The sequence below is a fragment of the Homo sapiens genome, chromosome 4, assembly GCF_000001405.40.
Source record: "Homo sapiens chromosome 4, GRCh38.p14 Primary Assembly".
Taxonomy (NCBI): domain Eukaryota; kingdom Metazoa; phylum Chordata; class Mammalia; order Primates; family Hominidae; genus Homo; species Homo sapiens.
Window position 1 is genome coordinate 82,694,566 of NC_000004.12, and position 21,756 is coordinate 82,716,321.

At 43.0% G+C, this 21,756-nt stretch overlaps 1 protein-coding gene and 1 long non-coding RNA gene across 3 annotated transcripts in view; both read right to left on the reverse strand.

Moving 5' to 3' along the window:
* Positions 1-21,756, reverse strand: part of SCD5 (stearoyl-CoA desaturase 5) — a 169,258-nt gene that overhangs the window by 65,027 nt on the left and 82,475 nt on the right. For both annotated transcript variants that reach the window (NM_001037582.3, NM_024906.3), the window contains exon 2: positions 10,718-10,848. In NM_001037582.3, the coding sequence (NP_001032671.2) occupies positions 10,718-10,848 (131 nt within the window). The remainder of the gene's footprint in view (positions 1-10,717; positions 10,849-21,756) is intronic.
* LOC124900727 (uncharacterized) lies at positions 121-4,829 on the reverse strand. The gene is made up of 2 exons (XR_007058166.1): positions 3,455-4,829; positions 121-317 (listed from the first exon to the last, which is right to left on the reverse strand). It is a non-coding gene; the product is annotated as an uncharacterized LOC124900727 (long non-coding RNA).

Below are 21,756 nucleotides of genomic sequence, written 5' to 3' on the forward strand. Positions count from 1 at the left end.
ATTGCCTCCAAATTAAAATGTCACCAATTGCATGCACAGTGACTGACGAATGTTTGTACCCCCACCATGTGGCAACTTTGAATCAATAACTCTGCAGATCCAGAAAAAAAAAGAAAATCATAAGAAGAGAAAATATATTTACTATTCATTAAGTGGAAGTGGATCATCATAAAGGTCTTCATCCTTGTCTTCTTTGCATTGAGTAGGCTGAGAGGAGGAGGGGCTGATCTTGCTGTCTCAGAGGTGGTGGAGGCAGAAGAAAATCCATGCATTTAAGTGAAGCTGCGCAGTTCAAACCCATTCTGTTCAAGGGTTAACTGTAATCGTAAGTATAGGACTTTCCTGAGTTCTGCATGTTGTTCTAGTGAATTATCAAACCTAAGGAGATTGTGGAAACCCCCAAACTTATCACTGGTCATTCAGAAGTACAGGTAGCCTGGGGACCCCACTACTGTTCTGCAGCCCTTGCAGCAGGCGTCTGAAGTGGGGACAGCCATGTGGAGCACTCAGCCTTTAACTTGTGGGATCTGATGTTAACCCCGGGTGGTTAGTGTCAGAATTACACTGAAGTACACCAACTTGGGGTGGACACAGAGGACTGGTGTGCAAGGCCCTGATCACGCAGGGCCCCATAGAACATAACAGTGAGGTTGGATTTCATTCCAAATACAATGCTAAGCCACTGAAATATTTATTTATTTATTTAGCTGGAGAGTCGTTTAATTTCCAATAAGCTCTCTCTGGCTACAATATAGAGAGGGGCAAGCATTGAATCAGAAGACCAGTTCAGGAGGCTTTTGCAGTAGCCTAGGAAAAAAGTTGATCTTGAACTAAAAGGTGGTAAAAATGAGAAGTGTGCAGATTCAAGATGTAATTTAGTGATAGAACTGAAGGGATTGGCTTAAAAATTGGTGAGGGATAACTAGGGAAATGGAGAAATCATGGATGATACCCAGACTTCTGGTGGGAAAGCTAGGAGAAGAACAGAAGAACAGTTTCGGTGAGAAGGTAGAGTCACAACTTTGATTTGGGGCATGCTGAGTTTGCGAAGCCTAAGTTAGGACATCCAATAAGAGATGTCACATGGGTAACCAGATTTGTAACACACTATACCCTGTCAGCTTACTTCTTCAATCTGGGTGATTTTCTAACTATGCTGTGACCTTATACAGTATGTTCTAATCATTCCTCTCTCCCTACCTTTGCTCAGATGTTTTCCCTACCCTCCTCTTCTTCTTTGCCTAGACAAATCCTCTTCATGTGCAGCTCAAATCTCCCCTTCTGCAGTAGGCTTTGTCCAATGATCCTAGCCCATATTCAAATTTCTGCAGCCCTAAAAGTCAGTGTGACACTTTTGAGCAATTTAACTCCACATTGTCTTTTTATAAGAGTCTTTATTGCACACAAGTCTAGCCAGCTCTATCAGATTGTAAGCTCCTCATCCAAGGGCCACTTCTTAGATATTACTTGTGTTCTTCATAAGCACATAGTGGCTTATGCACTTTTAAATGTAGTGGTAATTAAACAGCAGATTTACATGAAAAGCTATGAAATATTCAAATGGAAGAAGGTAAAAATAATCAAATGCTTCTGCCTTCTGAAAGAGTTTTTAAAAGCAAAGCTAGAAATTTCCATTTGGCATCTGAAACTCAATAAATATTATCATTAATTAAAACTGCTGATTCAATGACTCCTGTAGACATTGTATCTTTGGAGCGTGATAAGGCATTGAGGCAGCATTCCTGAGATAATCCCGTGACGAGAGCGCTGGCTGGCATTAATGGGAATTGGAACAGGATGATTGAAAAGCCTGGACTTTGATAAACAAGGACCAATGATGAAAAACAATTCAATATCTAATAAAGGGGTGGGGAAGAGGCCACTAACAGAAGGCCTCACTGTGTCTGTTAGATCTGTTTCATTTCGTATCTTCATTAATGTCTGGGAACAAGGCTTACACATTTTGTTAATAACATTTCTGATTGGTACTAAATTAGGAGGTGCTGCAGACATCATTGAGGAAAGAGGAATAACACAGATGGATCCAAAGAGGTTAGAAATATGAATAGAAATTATCACAATGAGATTTGATTTCAGAAAAATGCAAATGAAGGCAGCTGGGGGAGAAATCATCCAAAATGCAATATAATCAGTGGGTTGGGAAACCTAGAAAGCAGCAGCATAAGAGTGTCTGGCAGGCTAGCAATGGAATAAAGAATATGCAATGACAATGTGCTGTCTCATCCCACATGGCTGGTGACAGGTACAGGGAGAAATGACTTGTCAAGGAATTGCATTGCAATACAGTCTTCTTCAATGTCCATAAACATTTTTGGAGATGGTTTGGGAAAATAAACAAAATAAGCTCAGACATTTGGGCCTTAGTTTATTCAGCTGTTAGAAAAGAATTAGACTCGTGGCTTCTAAGGTTCCCCAATTCTAACCTCCTGTGATCCCAGCTCTAACCTTCTGTGGTTCTAAGACAAAGAAAGGTTGCGAGAAAATACATGATTAAGGAGGTTCACTGTGTGCAGCACTTCTAAAGATCTTTAGGAAAAGAAGACAGGATGAAACACAAAGCTTGAAAATATGTTTCCAAATAGATTCCCAATTGACAGGACTGCATGCGGAATTCACCTTCAAAACAGTGTCTTTCTTCCAATACAGATGCCGGGCTAAATTAACATAAAATCTGATAGTTATTTGTTTACAAAAATTATCTCTACCAACTATTTCTTCAAATAAAAACTCTTTAAAGTATTGCGGTTTTTTTGGTTTACAAAAATCTAATCGCCTTAAAGTGGTTAGAAATATATCCACTGTACAAAGCAGGTAAGATCTGCATTAAAGAGTTCCCACCGTATCTGGAGATGGTGCTGTGAGAAACAGACTAGCCCTGTTGGTTGGTCTGTTCATCTGTCTAATTACCCTCTTGCTCAGACTGTCACATTTTCATCCCCTTGAGGTTCATTTTCTTAGATGATTTCTCTCATCTCACCTACTTTCACTGACCTAGATCCCCAACAAATAAGCAAGTAAGGCATCTTAGGGGTGGGGAAATTTTATTTTCTACCTTAATAGGTTCATTTTTGTTGGTAGAAAGTATAATTAATCCTGCCAGGTAAGTGCAGAAAGAAAATGCCGTACCCCACGCAGCAGCCTCTGGAGAGTTTCCTGGTTTCCTTTCTCTCTCTCTTTCTTGCTCTCTCGCTCACCTGCTAGGCCACCTCCCACCTGCACCACTTTGTCGGAGTATTCCGCATAACGGAAGGGGTTACAATGCAGCATGCATGGAATGACAATGCTTTAATGAATTGATAAATCACCGTCTTCACTGCTTAGAGACGACCAAGCTATTTGCTCTTTTCTCATGACTTCCAAATGTTCCAAATGTGCCCTGGATGGTGAAATGCTGTGGAAGAAGATAATGTGAGGCATGATGTGCAAATCTCACCTTCCAAAATCACACCAGGAAAAGCTGTCAGGGCATCTGGGTCAGGACCACTTCTGCTGCTGCCTGTTTACATGGAGGAGAAAACCAACAACACCCACCCATCTTGAAAGGAAGAAGGCAAACCTGTTTCTGATGTGCAGAAGAAAAGTTGTGCATCTGAAGCTTAGGCTCATGGCTAGGAAAGGTGGCAACACTGAAACAGGATTTCTGAAGGGAGACTTAGAACCCACAGAGAGCCACATAAGGTTAAGGATTCCTGAGCTGCACTAAAGTTCTGGTGTTTTGTTCTCTTCTACACAACCGCCACTGCATGCTGCTGCTAACAGCATGAGCTGTACTTGAGGGTGCTGCCTCGCACACAAGTCTCCCTCCTTGACATGCACACCCCCCAGAGACCCAGCCTTGGGGGATGGTCTATTATCCTGAAACAGGCACAAACTCTTTGGGGTCTCCTGACTGTGTTCTGAGGCTTACTCAAGCCATGGAAACGCATGAGGCCATGTCACTCCCTGCCTAAGACCTGGCAGTGCCTTCCTGTGATATGTAGAACAATATCTGAACTCTGCCTGACAGAGCCTTGCACTGATGTGGCCCCCATCCCCCACTCTGGCCTTGCACTCACATGGACCAGCCACGCTGGCCATCTTTCTGCTCCTTGGACACAGCATCCTCATTCCTGGTTTTGCTTTGACTCCTCCCTCTGGATGCTCTTCCTCTACCCTCCTCTCCTTCAGGTCTCAGCACTAATGCCACCTCCTCAGCAAGGTCTTCTCTGACCACACTTTGTAAAGATGCCCCATCTTGGGCCTCTATGTGATGTTACTCTGTTTAATTCTTTATATCCTTCTCTCTCTGAATACATTTGTTTGTTCATTTGCTCACATGTTCATTTGCTGTCTCTCCTACTGTAATATACACGTTATGAGGACAGGGACCTTGTCTGTCTTGTTCTCCTGTGCCTAGAACAATGCTTAACACATGTGTTTGCTGAATGAAAGGATAAATGTGCATTTGGACACTGGGAGAGGCACTAGAGCAGGGGTCCGCAACCCCCGGGCCACGGACTGGTATGAGAATCTAATGATGAATGTTATGTATTTGAATCATCTTAAAACCATCCCCCCACCCTGCCATCTATGGAAAAATTGCCTTCCATGAAACTGGTCCCTAGTGCCATAAAGGCTGAGGACTACTGCATTACAGCACAGCAGTAAGAGGGTGACTTCTGGAGTCCAGATGCTTACATTTAAACCCCTCTTCTGTCACATAAATCCGAATGTCCTTGGATAGGTTACATAACCACTTTTCTGTTTTCTCGCCTATCAAATGAGGAAAATAATAGTACCTACTTTGTAGGGGCATTATCAATGACTTTTTTTTTTTGAGACAGAGACTCGCTCTGTCACCCAGGCTGGAGTGCAGTGGCACAATCTCAACTCACTGCAACCTCCACCTCCCAGGTTCAAGCGATTCTCATGTCTCAGCCTCCCAAGCAGCTGGGACTACAGGCACACGCCACCATGCCTGGCTAATTTTGTTTTTTGTTTTTTGTTTTTTTTTTTTTTTGAGACAGTTTCAGCCTTGTTCCCCAGGCTGGAGTGCAATGGCCCAATGTCTCATGCCTGTAATCCCAGCACTTTGTTATTTTATTTTATTTTTTTGAGATGGAGTCTCCCACTGTCACCAGGCTGAAGTGCAGTGGCACAATCTCAGCTTACTGCAACCTCCACGTCCCAGGTTCAAGCGATTCTCCTGCCTCAGCCTCCCAAGTAGCTGGGACTACAGGTGCACGCCACCACGCCTGGCTAATTTTTGTATTTTTAGTAGACACGGGGTTTCACCATGTTGGCCAGGATGGTCTCGATCTCTTGACCTCGTAATCCGCCTGCCTCGGCCTCCCAAAGTGCTGGGATTATAGGCATGGGCCACCACACCTGGCCCAATCCCAGCACTTTGGAAGGCCAAGGCAGGTGGATCACTTGAGGCCAGGAGTTTGAGACCAGCCTGACCAACACGGTGAAACCTTATCTTTACTAAAAATGCAAAAACAAGCTGGGTTTGGTGGCGCGCACCTGTAATCCCAGCTACTCGGGTGGCTTAGGCATGAGAATCTCTTGAACCTGGGAGGCGGAGGTTGCAGTGAGTCGAGATCACACCACTGCATTACAGCATGTGCAACAGAGTGGGACTCCATCTCAAAAAAGATAAAAAAGAAAAAGAAAATATTTAAGTAATAATGGCTGAGAATTTTCCGAATTAATGACAAGCACCAAACCATAGATCCAGGACACTCAGAAAACTCCAAGCAGGATACATACCAAAAAACCCTACACTTAGGGTTTACACCATGCCCAGCTAATACTTAGGTATCATCATATTCAAACTGCAGAAAATCAAAGACAAAGAGAAAATCTTGAAAGAATCCAGAGTGGAAAAAATCCCTCCTTACCTATAAAGGAGTGAGGAGAAGAATTATACCAGGTTTCTCTTCAGAAACCAGCAAGCAAGAAGAGAGTGAAATAAAATATTTAAGTGTTGAAAGAGAAAAATCCACCCACCTAGAATTCTGTACTCAGCAAAATTACTCTTCGAAAATGAAGTAGAAATAAGGACTTTCTCAAGCTGGGTGTGGTGCTATGTGCCTATAGTCCTAGCTACTAGGGAGGCTGAGGTGGGAGGGGCGCTTAAGCCCAGGAGTTCAAGGCTGCAGTGAGCCATGATTGCTCCACTGCACTCCAGCCTGGGTGACGGAGTGAGACCCTGTCTCTAAAAAAAAAAAAAAAAAAAAAAAAAAAAAAAAAAAAAAGACATTCTCAGACAAACCAAAATTGAGGGAATTTGTCACCAGTATACTTGCCTTGCAAAAAATGGTAAAAAGAGTTCTTCAGAGAGAAGAAAAATTATATCAGAAACCTGGATCTACATAAGTGAAGGTAAAATAGAAACTTTTATTATTCTTATTCTTAATCTAACACATAACAATTTGTTCAAAATAAGAATAGTAACAATTTGTTTAGTGATTATAGCTTATGGATACGTAAAATGAATGACAACAATGTCGTAAAAGACAGGAGGGAGAAATTGGGAATACACTGTTAGAAGGTCCTTGTGCTACTGCAGGTACTATTATGAAGTGGTACAGTGTTATTTGAAAGTGGGTTTCGATTAGTTGTAAATGTATATTGCAAATTCTAGGGCAATCCATAAAAATTTTTAAAAAGAAGTATAATTCATATGTTAAGAGAGGACAGAAAATAGACTTATACAAAATGGTCCATTAAAACCACATAAAAATAGAAAAAGAGTAGAATACACAAATAAAAAGTAAGAAAAAGAGCAGCAAATGGAAAACAGAAACTTGGTAGATATTGATCCAACTATATCAATAATTGGTAACTTGGTAGATATTAGTCCAACTATATCAATAATTACTTTAAGTGTGAATGGTCTAAATATACCAATTAAAAGACAGACTGTCAGAGAGGATTAAAAAAAAAAAAGACTAAACTCTATGTTGTTTAGAAATCATGCTGTAGGACAGCACATAAGAATATCCAGTGGGTGGCCTGAATCAGGACAATGGGGTTTCAGTCTGTCTATCCACTAATTAGCTGTGTGAACTTCGAGAAGTCACTGGTATTCTCTGTTTACTCCTCTGTAGAATATGAGAATTTAAGCTAAATCCCTTTAGTTCTCTTCCAGCTCTCAATCCAATGCCTCATTACCATGACTTGATAAGGAAATATGAGCCACGAGGGAGTGGGCTGAAGCATCTAGTAGGTGCTTTTGGTTGGACTGGGTCTGTGAGAGACCCAGATGTAGCCAGCAGAAGCAGATGCATGAGCGTGACAGCACAAATCTGAATCCTGGCTCTTCCTTGTGAAAACTTAACTCTTGGAGAACAGGCATCTCTCACCTGGGTCCATCTTTGACTTGGAGCAAATTATAAGGAAGTTGCAAGCAGTCTTTAGGTTGACTTCACCCTACTGGCAAGGAAGGAGGATAGACCATAGAGGAACTCAGGAGATCTTTGCTGAATACAAGCGTTCAGGTTCAGAGGGGACAGAGGATTTTATAGCTCCTTATCAGGCATTCCTGCCCCATCATCATCTTTTTTTTTTTTTTTTTTTTTTTTTTTTTTGTGAGATGGAGTCTCACTCTGTCGCCCAGGCTGGAGTGCAGTGGTGTGATCTCATCTCACTGCAACCTCTGCCTCCCGAATTCAAGTGATTCTCCTGTCTCAGCCTCTCAAATAGCTGGGACTATAGGCATGCACCACCATGCCCAGCTAATTTTCGTATTTTTAGTAGAGACGGGGTTTTGCCATGTTGGCCAGGCTGCTCTCGAACTCCTGATCTCAGGTGATCCACTCGCCTCGGCCTCCCAAAGTGCTGGGATTACAGGTATGAGCCACCACGCCCAGCCCATCATCATTTTTTTAGACTAAAAGTATCTCCACCTTTCCTACTATTGCCTCTCAGCCCCATACATACATCTTCTATAGAAGAAAAAGAAAAGGAGTTTAAAATGTTTAAGTCTCAACGTTAAGAATACTGTTCTTAATGCTCAAGGTCTTGTTTGTAGCATCTAGCAAAAACCCTGCTGATCCCAAACAGAGACAGCTATGGCATGACTTGTCCATTTTGGCCAATGGCATGACCATTCCGGTGAAGGAGAGAAGAGAGAGAATCTTTGAAACTATCTTTAAAAACCCATGGATTATCAAAGGGAAACTAAATCAATGACTGCATTAAGTCAGGGTTGTAAGTCACCATCCTACACTGGCAGATCATAGCATTTTTTCATTTCCCCAGGTTGTTCTCCTCATAGGGTTAAGTGGTTTAAATAAATTGTTCTAGACACTGACTAGTTCTAGTTCTGTTCTAGTTCTCTCCCACTGACACAGTTCTGCATGTTATGGAAACTGGCCCTAATCTGATCTTAGAGAGGTACCTTCCACCTAGGTCTAAGTGACATTGTTATAAAACCCCAGGTCCATGAAACACTGAAATTTCCACTGGGAAACTTTGGGGATTCTAATATCCTACTAGACAGAAAAGCTCCATGAAGGCGAAGCTTGTGACTCTTTGCTCATTGTTATTCTCACTGTGCCTTCTCAGTGTCTGCCACATAGTAGGTGCTCAATAAGTATTCGTTGAATGAATTTTAAAAATCCACTACAAATGTGGGCCTTGAAAAAGTATGCATAGTTCAAATTTGATGGTTTCTAAAACTACATTTTAAAGCTGTTCATTTATTTTTTTATTTACCTAACAATCATTAATTGTTTTCTATATGACAGACATTAGCATACAGAAACCAATTAAACAATATATCAATTCTCATAAAAGAGAAGGGGAGAACAATATTCACCGATTGCTACTATAAGCTTGGTACTTTTTATTCATTATTTTATCTTCCTAGCAACTCTGTGAGGCAAATATTATTATCCTCCCCTTGCAGATAAAGGAACTGATACTTGCAGAAAGGCTCACATCTAGCAAATGGCAGAGCAAAGAATTTATTCTAGGACCTGGGTACTTCCATCTACAGTGTACTTTCTCCCTAAAATAAATTTAAAATCACAGTCTAATATTCTGTTATGTGGTGTTTTGTTAAGAAAACTTAGGTTTTCAAATTTTGAGTTATAAACAAGTAGTTTCATGAGAAAAAAAATCAGAGTTTTAGGCTTCAGCTACAAGTTATTTATCTTTGAAAAAAAGTCCAATAATAGAAATGTTTTATAACTACATGAGTGTGTCATTGGAGGCTATAAAGAAAGGATTGCTTGAACACAAGAAATGAAAATTATCAAGTTAGGTCCTCAACGTCATCTAAGACCTAAGTCAATTATTATTTTGAAAGCACAACACTGAAATAAGATGGCTGAAGTCAAAATAAAGTGCAGCATAGTTCACACTGCCAGTGGTGAACAAATGAACATGGAACCAGGAAGCTGCCAACTGCTCCCTTATGCTTAATAGCTTATTTCCTAGGACCTCAGTACTAATACCTGATGTGCTTGAATGACAAGCAGTATATATACACACCACCAATTGTGTTTCCTAATTGACCTATTGTGTTATATCCTATTTACCTTATGAAAAGTCAAACTGTGTAAGAGATGCCTAAAATAAGGAAATGAATTCTGAGCTACAAGAGCACTTAGTGAAATATTCCGCATCAGGTTGTCTCGTAGGAGTGGAAGGCCCATGGCAGAGGTGGCCACATGAGCTGTGTGTCTGAGGGCCACAGGGAAGCTCCTGGGTCACCCGTCTCCCTGGACTCTAGAGCACTTTTCGCAATCACCATTCCTTCCCAATGAGTGAAAATGCACGGGGCCCAGAATCATCTACACTCATAATGTGGGCAGAAGTTTTGAAAACAAGTTGTTCTCACTCAGATTAGGAATTGGGAAAACAGAGATCCATGACCAAACCAAAAGTACCCAAGGAAAGTACCCAAGGAGGTGGGGAATGGTCTAGGACTGGGATAGTCTTAAAGAATATGGCCCAATCCTAGTGCAGTGATGACCGTCTCTTACATTTTTATAGCTCCCTGCAGTTTTCATTGATTTTATAACAACCCTGAGAATGAAGTTTTGTTCTTATTTTTACAGATTAAGAAACTGAAGTTGAGGAAGTGATTCACAGCCAGCACCCATCAGAGTAAAATCCCTGCGTCTTCAAACTTCAGATGGAATAGTCTTTCCACCATGACCTCGCAGGGCAACCTCGGGACTAGGTGTTGTAAGAGCAATGACTTGGAGTCAGGCTGGCCTGCATTTGCCTAGCCCTGAATGTACTGCTTTTTAGGCATATGATTTGGGCAGGTTCTTTAACCTCACTGAACCTCATTCTCCTCATCTGTAAAATGGGACACATGTAACATCTAGCTCACAGGGCTACTATGCGGATCAAATACTATATGCATACCAGTGTGCTTATCACAGAACTTGGCCCCTGGTTAGGGCTGGACAAATGTTGAGGCTTTCAGGGTATGTTCACAGCATGGGCTCTGGATAGAGGAGTCTCCTTTCCCCTCAGTAGTTCAGCATGCCTTAGGGCACAAAACCCCCCCAGGGGACATTTTACTGTATCTAAAAGCTACAAAGAGATAAAAACTTGGGACAGACTGGGCGTGCTTGGGGCCTGAACACTGAGTCTAGGACAGGGGTGGAGGGGTGTCAGCCCATCTTTCCCCTCCTCCCATACTGCCATCTGCACTGGGTCTCCCAACACAGAGAGGACCCTCCATCCTCACCTGGAAAGCCATGGAGTTGGCGACAGCCAGAAATATCCTCAGAGGCAGCTTGGCCCGGTAGGACCTGTGGCTCCACAAGCGATGGGCACCAGCTGTCACACCCAGAGCGGCCAGGAGGAAGCAGAAGTAGGCTGCAAGACACAAGCAGGGACAACGTCAACAATGGTCCCTGAGCTTTCAAACACCCCCCATGCTTTTTCTCTCCTGAACAGGGACACACGTGAAATGGTGTCAGGGGGGAAAGCTGCAACATGAAGAATCAATAACTTGAGAGGAGGCAGCCTTTTTATTGATTTGTAGCATCCCAGTACCATGCATAAGCAGAGAACTTTCTTCAGCAAACTTTGACCTTTGAATATCCTTCCCTACAGCAAATCTTTTATTTGCTAATGTTTCTTGCCAGTCTTGATGCAAAGTCACAACCATGTCAATGTACATTTGCAATTCAATTTCACACATACACTCTCGGCAGGGCAGAGATTGAGCTCTACCTCACCTCTTAATTGGCACACATGACAGGGTGAGTGTTATGTGAAGAGCATATTTCTAAGTGGCAGTGCCCATTATTGGTATCAATAAACATATTTAAAGAGAGCACAATATTACATCTTCCAGAAGTGTTTGACTGATCTTGATCTCAATCTATATTTATTTGGTTCTAAAAACAAGATTTACCCTTAACTCTAAGAATAAACGGTCCCTGAATACATGTGGTTTTCATGAACATGACAAATCATTCCTTACTTGAAAGGTTAAAAGCAAAACACAAACAACAATCTGCCCACAAATCACAGAAAGCTGCAGTAAATAAAAAGCTCTGGCCTCCTTTGTTATTGTAATTTAACCTTGGTCATGAGTCCATGAAATGGACAGTCATTTTCCTTGTCATCCCTGGCCTTCTTATCTCTATTAACATTTTTTTTTTCAACTAGCAAGTAGTCAGGGAACAAGTAAAATCTAGAATGGAAAAATTCAATGTGATTCTATTCTGCCAGTAGGCTGGACCTTGGGTGCAATAAAATTAATTCCAAGACTCCATGAAAAACATTGGCTAAAAAAGGATCACTCTAATCCACATTTCCCAGTCAGACCTTTACCACAGACATTGTCTTGTCCTTTTGGGAATCTCCAATAATTTAGGGATCACTTGCATGGTTGTCTGTCTATCCCTATGGCACCAACAGTGGTTCACAGCAGCGCCTGTACTGTGCAGTAGTGGCTGTCGGTTTCCCATGGTCCTTCTAACAACTGGAATTTGGCCATGTGACCTGGCCCTGGCCTAGTATACTGCCCTGTCTTCCCAGACATGAGAATAAACACCTGAGCCAATCCTTTTCCCTCTTCTGGCTCAAAGCCTAAGCTGGGGTTTACCAAAGATTACATATTACCAAGCTGAGAAAACCTGATTACAATAGCAAATCTTGAGGCCAAGAAAGTGAGACATGAAGACAATGAAGATGCCCACAAGAGCTAAACCTGCCTTGAGCCACTGGTTGCTGACCTAGGAGCTCTGTCATTCTTCTTTTGATCCTGGGAGCCTGCACAGTGTGTCCTAGTTACCAGAGCCAACAGACTTCATTTTCTTGCTTAATCTAGCTTGCACTGGATTTCTGACGCTTAAATTCTGCTGAAGCTCTTGGGAGGAAACCAACCCTCTGGTCATGACCCAAATGAGGAAAAACCACAAAAAGCCTGGGCTGAATGTAAGGATTCATGGGCTGTCCCATTAACAGGATTCAGTTTTCCTATTTTGACAGTGCTAATTCTCTGTTCTTAATTTCTCTTCTATGATCCTTGTGGAGACTCATATTCAAACAAGTGTTCAGTTGGATGCTTACTAGCTGCATCTGAGGTAATGAAATATTCAGACAAAGAACTTGTGACTTTGAGGAGATAAAAGGAGTAATGGGTAATGCCAAATACTTTACCAAGTAGCTCATACCTCACAGAGAAAGGTGCTAAATCAATAGAAACCAGAATCACAAAATGACAGAATTATAAGCAACAAACAAGTATGGCAGTCTGGATGCAAACAAGAGTCATTGATTCTGGTTAGCTCAAGCCAAAAACAAAAACAAAAGCAGGAATTAAAAAATATATGGAGCAGCCTAGAGAACTCACGGACGGTCCTGCAGGACAGGCTACTATGCCACCTCCAAGATGGTCCATGTGCTCCCCACCTTCTGGCATGCATGGCCTTGTGTAGTCTCTTCCCTATTAGTAACTTGCTTCTAACCAAGAGAATATAGCAATATTGAGGGAATATCAGTTCCATGATTAGTTTACAAAAGATTGTGACTTCTGTTTTGCTAGCAGATTCTCTCTTGAGCTGGCTTTGATAAAGCAAGCTGCCATGTTGGGGAGGCCCATGTGGCAAAGAATTGAGGATTCCTCCAGCCAACAGCCAGTAAGGAAATGAGGCCCCCAGTCCAACAGCCCTCAAGGAACCAAATCCTACCAACAACTACATGAGTGAGCTTGGAAGCAGATCCTTCCTCAGTTGAGCCTTCAGGCAAGATTGTAGCCCTGACCAACACACTGCAGCCCCGTGGGAGATCTTGGGGCAGAGGATCCAGCTAAGCTGTACCTGGACTCCTGTCCCACAAAAACTGTAAGAAAATAAATATGTTTTGTTTTACACTACTAAATTGGGGGTAATTTGTTATGCAACAATAGATAACTTGAATACAAAACATAAGCAGGAACCTTTCATTCATGGAAGGAAGGTACATCTTAAATCCTGATTGTAGAATAGTTTATCATCTATAGGGAAAGTAAACAGGCTGGTGTTGCATGGGGTAGGGGGTGGAGGAAAGGGGAAGAAGGCAGTGGCTGCTAATGGGTTCTATGAATAAAAATGTTTTAAAATGTATTTTAGGGCCAGTTGCACAATTCTGCAAATATACTAAAAACAAATGACTTGTATACATTAAATAGGTGAGTTGTACAGTATGAGTTATAGCTCAAAAATCCATTATTTAAAGAAACAATTACTGAATTCCCATTGGATTTTGTTATTATATATATTTTCTTACTGTAAAATAAAATAGACCCGTCCCAAAACAGAACAAAGCAATCAAAAACCAACCATTGGCCTAGGATGCTCCCACAGGCATCACCACCCCTAGATACTTGCCACCACCAGACATGTGTCATAACTTGGACCCTTGAATCTTCCACAGAGGTCAAGAAGAGCCTCTGTTTGACCCTACACCTATGCCTGAAGCTATCAAGACCACCCAGGATTCCAAGGCAGAAGTACCTTGTTGCCCATGCTTGCACCACAAGCCCAAGATCTAGCAGCCAGGGATGGGAAGAGACAGAGTCCAGAGCTCCTTTGGCTTCTGTGTGGAAGGCACAACCTCCTATCTGTCCTGATTTCCCTATTTGGTACATTGTTTTGATAATGACTGTAGTGACCCCCTCCTGACTATATGACAGAGAACAGTCCTAGAGGAATGTTAAAAAGCAAAAGTTAAAACTCCCTTAATCCTGGACCTGATCAGAGAAAGAGATGGACAGCCCCCTTCAAGAGCCATCCCTGAGTGCTCGACAGAAGGAAGCACTTGGCCGAGCTCTCTAACCCTCGCTTATAATCTGTATCTCTATAGCATCAGAGTGAACATTAATAAATAATATTGACTGAGAGCTTTCTATGTGCCAGGCCCTCTTTAAGTACTTTATACATAGTAACTCATTTAATACTCACCACAAGTGTAGGGGGTAGGTGCCATTATGATCTCCATCTTACAGATGAAGAAAACTTGACAGTGATAGAGCCAGGGTACAATCTAAGGCAGGAAGAGCCCACATCTAAATGCCCCTGCTGATTGCCTGTGCCCTGGAAGCAGAGTTCATTCTAGCAGGAGGAACTTGAATGAATCAGGTCCTTTTAGCCAGCTCAAAACAAAAGCTGAAAGTCAAAATTCTGGTTTTCCTTAATGCCCTTCCAAGTTACTCCCTTGCCTGTAATACCTACACCATCATTCTGCATCCCATTCAGCCTCGGCTTGTCATAAACATGAGTGCCAGTTTATGAGACTTTATGAGACAGTTTCATTGAGCTGCTATTATGTACCAGCCACTGAGCTCAGAACTGGGAGTTTAACAGGAGTTTGAAAAGTAAGTTACTTGCTATATAATGACAAAGTATGGAAAGTGCTACAGAGCAAATGAACAGAATAATATAAGAGAGATCAAAAAGTGGATAATTTAGTTTGGGGGGCCAAAGAAGGCTTTGCAGAAGAAACAAGAATTTAGGCTAACACTTAAAAGATAAGAAGTCAACTGAGCAAGGTCCAGAGGAGGCAAGATCAGGCAGAGGGACTCACAGATGCAAAGCCCTCAGGTTGGAAAAGAGGATCCATGGATGGAAGGAAACATCAAACATAAACTTATCATTTGTTCCAGCAATTCCACTTCTAGATGTTTACCCAAAAGAATTGAGAGCAGTGATAGGACTCAAACAGATACTTATATATCCATGTTCATAGCAGTATTATTCACAATAGCCAGAAGGCAGAAATAATCCAAGTGTCCATCAACAGGTGAGGAACATCCCTGCCTAACAGAAAGCGAGAAGGGAGTGAAGACTCACTGACGGCCTGCCCTGGGCTGTCACTTTACCAATGTACCTAATTTTCCTGTTTTACTCCTATGAGGTAGATATCATCATTTCCATTTTACAGATTTGCAAAACTGAGACCCAGAGACATTAAATAAATGCCTTGGGACCTCTAAGTGATAAAGCCAGAATTCCAACACCAGATCAGTCCAACCTCAAGCTCTTTCAGGCAAGTGCAGTGGTTCTCCACCCTGGCTGTGCATTACAGTCACCTGAGATCTTAAACATCTGACTGCATCAGAAATGGGGGCCAGACAGCAGGCATCTCTCTCTCGGCAGATGATTCTGATGCAAAACCAGGGCTGAGAAACTCCTGCCTCATAAGGTACACCCTCTCTTAGACACCATGTGGCCCCACCTTCTCGATTTACAAACAGAGAGATAAGATCCAGAGAGCAGTGCTCTCTGCAACCCACCACCAGATGCTGACTCTCCATGGGGCCTCAGTAAATGCAAAGTGACCCTCGGATCAGGAGACAATGTCATCCTTTCATGTGAACTCAGAGTCCTGTTCACACTCCACCCGCCCCACCTCCCCACCAGCTCCCTTTGATGGTGAGAGCTGCCCCCTAGGCTCTCAGCTGCAGAGTCTTTGATATCTGGGTGCTGGGCTGTGGCTCAGGGTGTGCAGTGGGGAGCTGTTTTTCCCCAGAGAACTGAGGAGAGGAGGGGGAAGCCAACAGAGGGTGAAGGCTTCTTGGGAGAGGGTGACCCCTGGGTTGAGGAGGGGGAACATGGAAGAAGGCACTGTACTTTGATGTCTGCTTTTCCAGTCAGTTCAAGTGTTTTGAAAGTCAGTTCTGGGCTCTGGCCAATTAGTGACTGTTTCTCCTCTCTAGACCTTCCCAGGTTCTGAAGATAGATAGGCAAAGGCCTATAGCCCCATTGTTGGAGAGGGAGAGAGGGAGGGAGGGAGGGAGAGAGAGAGAAGGAGAGAGGGAGAGAGAAAATGAGAGAGAGAGAAAACAAGACAAAGAGAAAACGAGACAGAGAGAGAGAGAGAGAGAAGTGCATATATGTAGTGCTCAGCAATACAGCATCATGGCTAAAATGGCCCTGGGATTGAATCCCTGATAAATCACTTATCACTGTGACAATTTCTCTAAAGCTTGGTTTCTTCATGTGTAAAGTAGGGAAAATAGTACCTGCCTCCTGGGTTTGTTGTAAAGATTAAAAGGGGTACTGCATGCAAAATTGGAACCGTGCCTGGCAAGCAGTAAGCACCGGCACATATTATTGCCCCATGCATGAATGCCATGCTCTGTTTCTGAAAAGATCCCCCCCCCGATAACCCACTCTGAAGACACCCACACTTTTCATCACTATAAACTTGTGGTTCTGATGAGGAGGCAGAGATTTTGCCTCCCCTCCCCACTGTGACCCCCTACATTTGGCAATGTTTTGAGACATTATTGGGTGTTGCAACCCAAAACTTGAAGGGTGTTACTGGCATCTAGTGGGTGGAAGCCAGGTATGCTGCTCAGCATCCCACAATGCACGGAAGCTGCCTATGTACAGAATATCCAGGATGGCGCGGTGGCTCATGCCTATAATCCCAGCACTTTGGAAGGCCAAGGCAGGTGGATTACCTGAGCTCAGGAATTTGAGACCAGCCTGGATGACAAGGCAAAACACTGTATCTACAAAAAGTTAGCCAAGCGTGGTAGCACGTGCCTGTAGTTCCAGCTACTTGTGGGGCTTAGGTAGGAAGATCACTTAAGCCCAGGAGGTGGAGGCTGCAGTGAGCCAGGATCTCACCACTGTTCTCCAGCCTGGGTGATAAAGTAAGACCTTGTCTTAAAAAAAAAAAAAAATCCAGCCCTAAATGTCAAACATGTCAATAGTGACAAGGTAGAGAATCGCTAAATTCTTAGGAAAGCTCTTCTTGAAACCAAGCCTTGTTCATTCTCTGGATTTGACTGCACCTGTCCTTGATTCTTCGCACCTCTCTAGTTTCATGGGGAGCTCTAGGAGCAGGAGTAATTTATTTCTGATATTATTTCATAAATAAGCTGGAAACAAAGGACTATGGTGTGAGATCAATAGTATCACTGATTCTCACATTTTCATGTGCCCTATAATAATAAGAGCTACCATTGACTGAGAGCTTTCTATGTGCCAGGCCCTCTTTAAGCACTTTATACACAGTAACTCATTTAATACTCACCACAAGTGTAGGGGGTAGGTGCCATTATGATCTCCATCTTATAGATGAAGAAAACTTGACAGTGATAGAGCCAGGATACAATCTAAGGCAGGGGATCTTAGTAAAGTGCAGTTGCAGGACCCCAGCCCAAGAGATTCTGACTCAATAGGTCTGGGGAGGGACCAACTAACATATATATATATATATATATATATATATATATATATATATATATATATATATATTTTATTTTTATTTTATTTTTTTTTTTTGAGATGAAGTCTCGCTCTGTCGCCCAGGCTCCGCCCAGGCTGGAGTGCAATGGCGTGATCTCGGCTTATTGCAACCTCTGCCTCCCGGGTTCAAGCCATTCTCTTGCCCCAGCCTCCTGAGTAGCTGGGATTACAGGCGTGTGCCATCACGCCTGGCTAATTTTTGTATTTTTAGTAGAGACTGGGTTTCACCATGTTGGCCAGGCTAGTCTCGAACTTCTGACCTTGTGAGCTGCCCGCCTTGGCCTCCAAAAGTGCTGGGATTACAGGCGTGAGCCACCACACCTGGCCTCAACTTGTATTTCTAAAGAGCTTGTGGCAGGTGCTGATGCTGCTGGCCCAGAGTCCCTGAGTGTTTCTCTGACCAGCCAGATCAGAGAGACAGAGAGAATGAATGTGTGTGTATGTGTGTGCATGCGCACATGTGTGTGTGTCTGATAAAGGGCTGCCAGTGACAGGGCAAGGACCTCTACGGCTACTTATCTCATGGAATAGCACCACAAAGAACCTCAGTTAAATCTTACATCTTCCCTTGAAAAGTCTGGGTATACAAGGTTCAAGATTCAGAGGTGATTTCCACGTAGGTACTATTTCAACAATTCTTTCAAAATCAGAACATTTTCAAGGGTGTTGGAGACTGCAAGCTGAGAAGCAAAGGGTTTCTTCTTACTATTAAAACCTTCTAAATTCTATTATACTTACAATAACCGGCAGCTCCTCTCTGCCATCTACCTCCCTCCACTAAGCCATCGTCTACTGTGCCGCATATGAGCTGCAGAAAGATATGTTCTCTCATCCCACAGCATGAATCTTTAAGCAACTGCCCACATCTAGGAAGATTAAATGACAAGGGGATAGAACAGGAGAGAGAGAGGATACATTTCATGCCTTTTATACATATTGCTTATTTTCCTCAAGTGTCCTTCCTGCCTTGGGTTAGGTCCATTTACACGGTTGTAACATACTGGGCAACTGCTACTTTTCCTGGTTGATTTACAGCTTATATAGCAATAAGCATGAAAGTCATAGCAGATCACTAAGAAACACAAAATTATAGCATACGTTGTTACTACTCTGCTACTGCACCACACAGTTTGTAATTCAAACAAAAAAGAAGGCAAGATTTTGGATCGTTCCAGGACTTCATTCAGTATATACATGGCTCACTTCAGACAGGCACTCCTGTTAGATACTCTGTTGCCCTCTGTGTTAACCAATACAGCAATTGTCACGTTGTTATTAAATAAGGAATTACTGGTCCAGTGCTATCTGCCCTTACTGAAACATCATCTCCAGGAGGGCAGGGATTGTGTCTGTCTGTCTTTCCATGTATTCTCAGCTGGCATCTGTGCAACTAACTCAACCAGAGAAAAATACTCAACCATGTTGATTGGTCTCACTTTAAAATCATGACCACTAACCTCAATTGGGCTTTACTATTACCCAGCAACCATATTATATTTCCCCGATCCATATGCGGTCCCTCTCTCCTAGACATTGACCTCATACCTGCTCCGATCACCTCACCCCTGACACCTCCCTGCCCTACTCACCTGATAACTTTGCTTCTGATTTCAGTAAGAATATCAGAACTTCCCCAGGCTCCGCCACCTCTACCTACCATCCAGCATCTGAGCCTGGGTACTCTATGATCGCTACATGACTGCACATGGCCAAGCCACTCTCTCTTTAAGTCTGGCCCTTCCCTTGTGCATCATATCCACTCATCCTACCCATACATTACTCAGAAATTCCTGTCTGCCTGTCTGTATCATCAACACCGCCCCACATACTTACATTATTCCCACAGCCTACAGCCATGCTGTTACTTCTCTTATGTTAAAAAGCAAAATTTAAAAACCTCTCTTGACCCCACTTCCCCACCTGGATCCTATTCCATTTCCCTATTCCCCTTTACAGTGAAACTTACTGAATATTGCCTCTAATCACTGGTTGCAGTTCTCTTTCCATTCTCTCTTAAACCCACTCAATCAGGTTTTGGTCTTTCTCCCCTCATAGCTGCCCCCAATCAAAACTGCTCTTATCCAGGTCCAGACAAGATAGGTGTAGTCCCTTTACTCATGGGCAGTCTCTAGGTAAACATTGAACAAATCATTACTGGGTGACAGGGACTCTGAAGGAGAGACCCAGGTATACAGGAGCACCTGAAGCATGAGCTCATGAAGGAGGGACTGCTGCTAGCAAGGCATGGAGGTGTGAAGGCTGTGTGTGTTCAAGCAGGAGCAAGTGGTTTGGTTTGGCTCCAGGGCAGGGGGCTGTGGGGGTAAAATGAAGGGAGTAAAACAGGCAAGGAGCCAGGTCTGGAAGGGACTCATATAGGTTGAGCATCCCTAATCTGAAAATCTGAAATGTTCTAAAATTTGAGATTTTCTGAGCACCCACATGATGCTCAAAGGAAATGCTCATTGGAGCATTTTGGATTTCAGATTTTTGAAGCAGGGATGTTCAACCAGTAAGTATATGGCAAATATTCCAAAATCTGAAAAAATATAAAATCTAAAACACTTCTGAACCCAAGCAGTTTGGATAAGGGATACTCAACCTGTATGTAGCTAGAGAGATAGAACTGATCTTGAGAACAACAGGATACCATAAAGAATTTCATGTGAGGCTAGGCGCAGTGGCTCACACCTGTTATCCCAGCACTTTGGGAGGCTGAGGCAGGCAGATCTCTTGAGGTCAGGAGTTCGAGACCAGCCTGGCCAACATGATGAAACCCCGCCTCTACTAAAAATGCAAAAATTAGCCGGGTGTGGTGGCACACGCCTGTAATCCCAGCTACTTGGGAGGCTGAGGCACGAGAATTGCTTGAACCCAGGAGGCAGAGGTTGCAGTGCACTAAGATCATGCCACTGTACTGCAGCCTGGGTGACAGAGCAAGACTCCGTCTGAAAAAAAAAAAAAAATCATGTGATCAGATTTAGAACGATAGATCTGAAGGCTGTGGAAGATGAGTGATAATGAGCGGAAATGGAAGACGTTGGGCTGAGTATTCTCCATGCACCCCTGGCAGACACACACCCTCCCTTCTCATGCTGCTCTGTGCCCCAGGAGGCCGGCCTGTGCTGAACCGATGGGCTTCCTCTGGCTTCTATCTGGGTTATTTTCAGCATCCAGAGCCTAGATTAGGAACTGGAAGGCCCTTGACAAGTTACTCATCACTCTGGGCCTCAATTTCCTCATTAATAAAAAAAAAATAAGGGTGTCCCAAACACCATTCTGGCGCCAGGCTACCTGTATCATAATTTTCTGAGGAGCTTTAAAATACACACATATATTCTAGAACCTCATACTGACAAGACAGGGGTCATAACTCTGGCTTATACCTCATGCCTTGGTGTGGGAAATGAGGTCTCGTGAAGGAAAAGAGATGCATTGATAAGAGGAAAAACTTGATGACCAGAAAGTTAAGAACTCTTAGCTGTCATAGGATGATGCTGACAGCCTAGCTCTTGACCAACAGCATGTAAAACAAGATGACTAAACTGAATGGTTTGGGGAAGGGAGGAGAAAGAAAATGACAAAGACTAAGGCTGTTCTGCTTCCAGTCCACTTTTGAAAATGTTTGGCAACTGGTACTTGTGGCCACACTCAAGTATAAGGAGAGCTATATTTGGAGCTGTCAATTGTGTAATATTTTACCAAAAAAAGTCAATGTTATCATTTTTTTGATCTGCTAATATTTGTTCAGTACAATGATACCAAGGCAAGCCCTTGAGAAAAAACTATTCGATAGCATAAACTAGTTCAGCCTGAGAGCGTTCCATGATTTCCCCTGTGGCTTCTTCCTCTCTTCTTCGAAGCCTCTTCCTTTCCCTCAAATAACACAAAGCTTCTCTTCCGGGTGTCGGGGAGATCATTTACTAGGCATGGGAATCAAAGCTCCCTGGAAGAACTCACGGAGAATGTCAGCTCCTTCCACACAGAAGGGAGGGAGCTCACAGGGAATCTGGAACTGCCCCTCTGCCATTTCCTA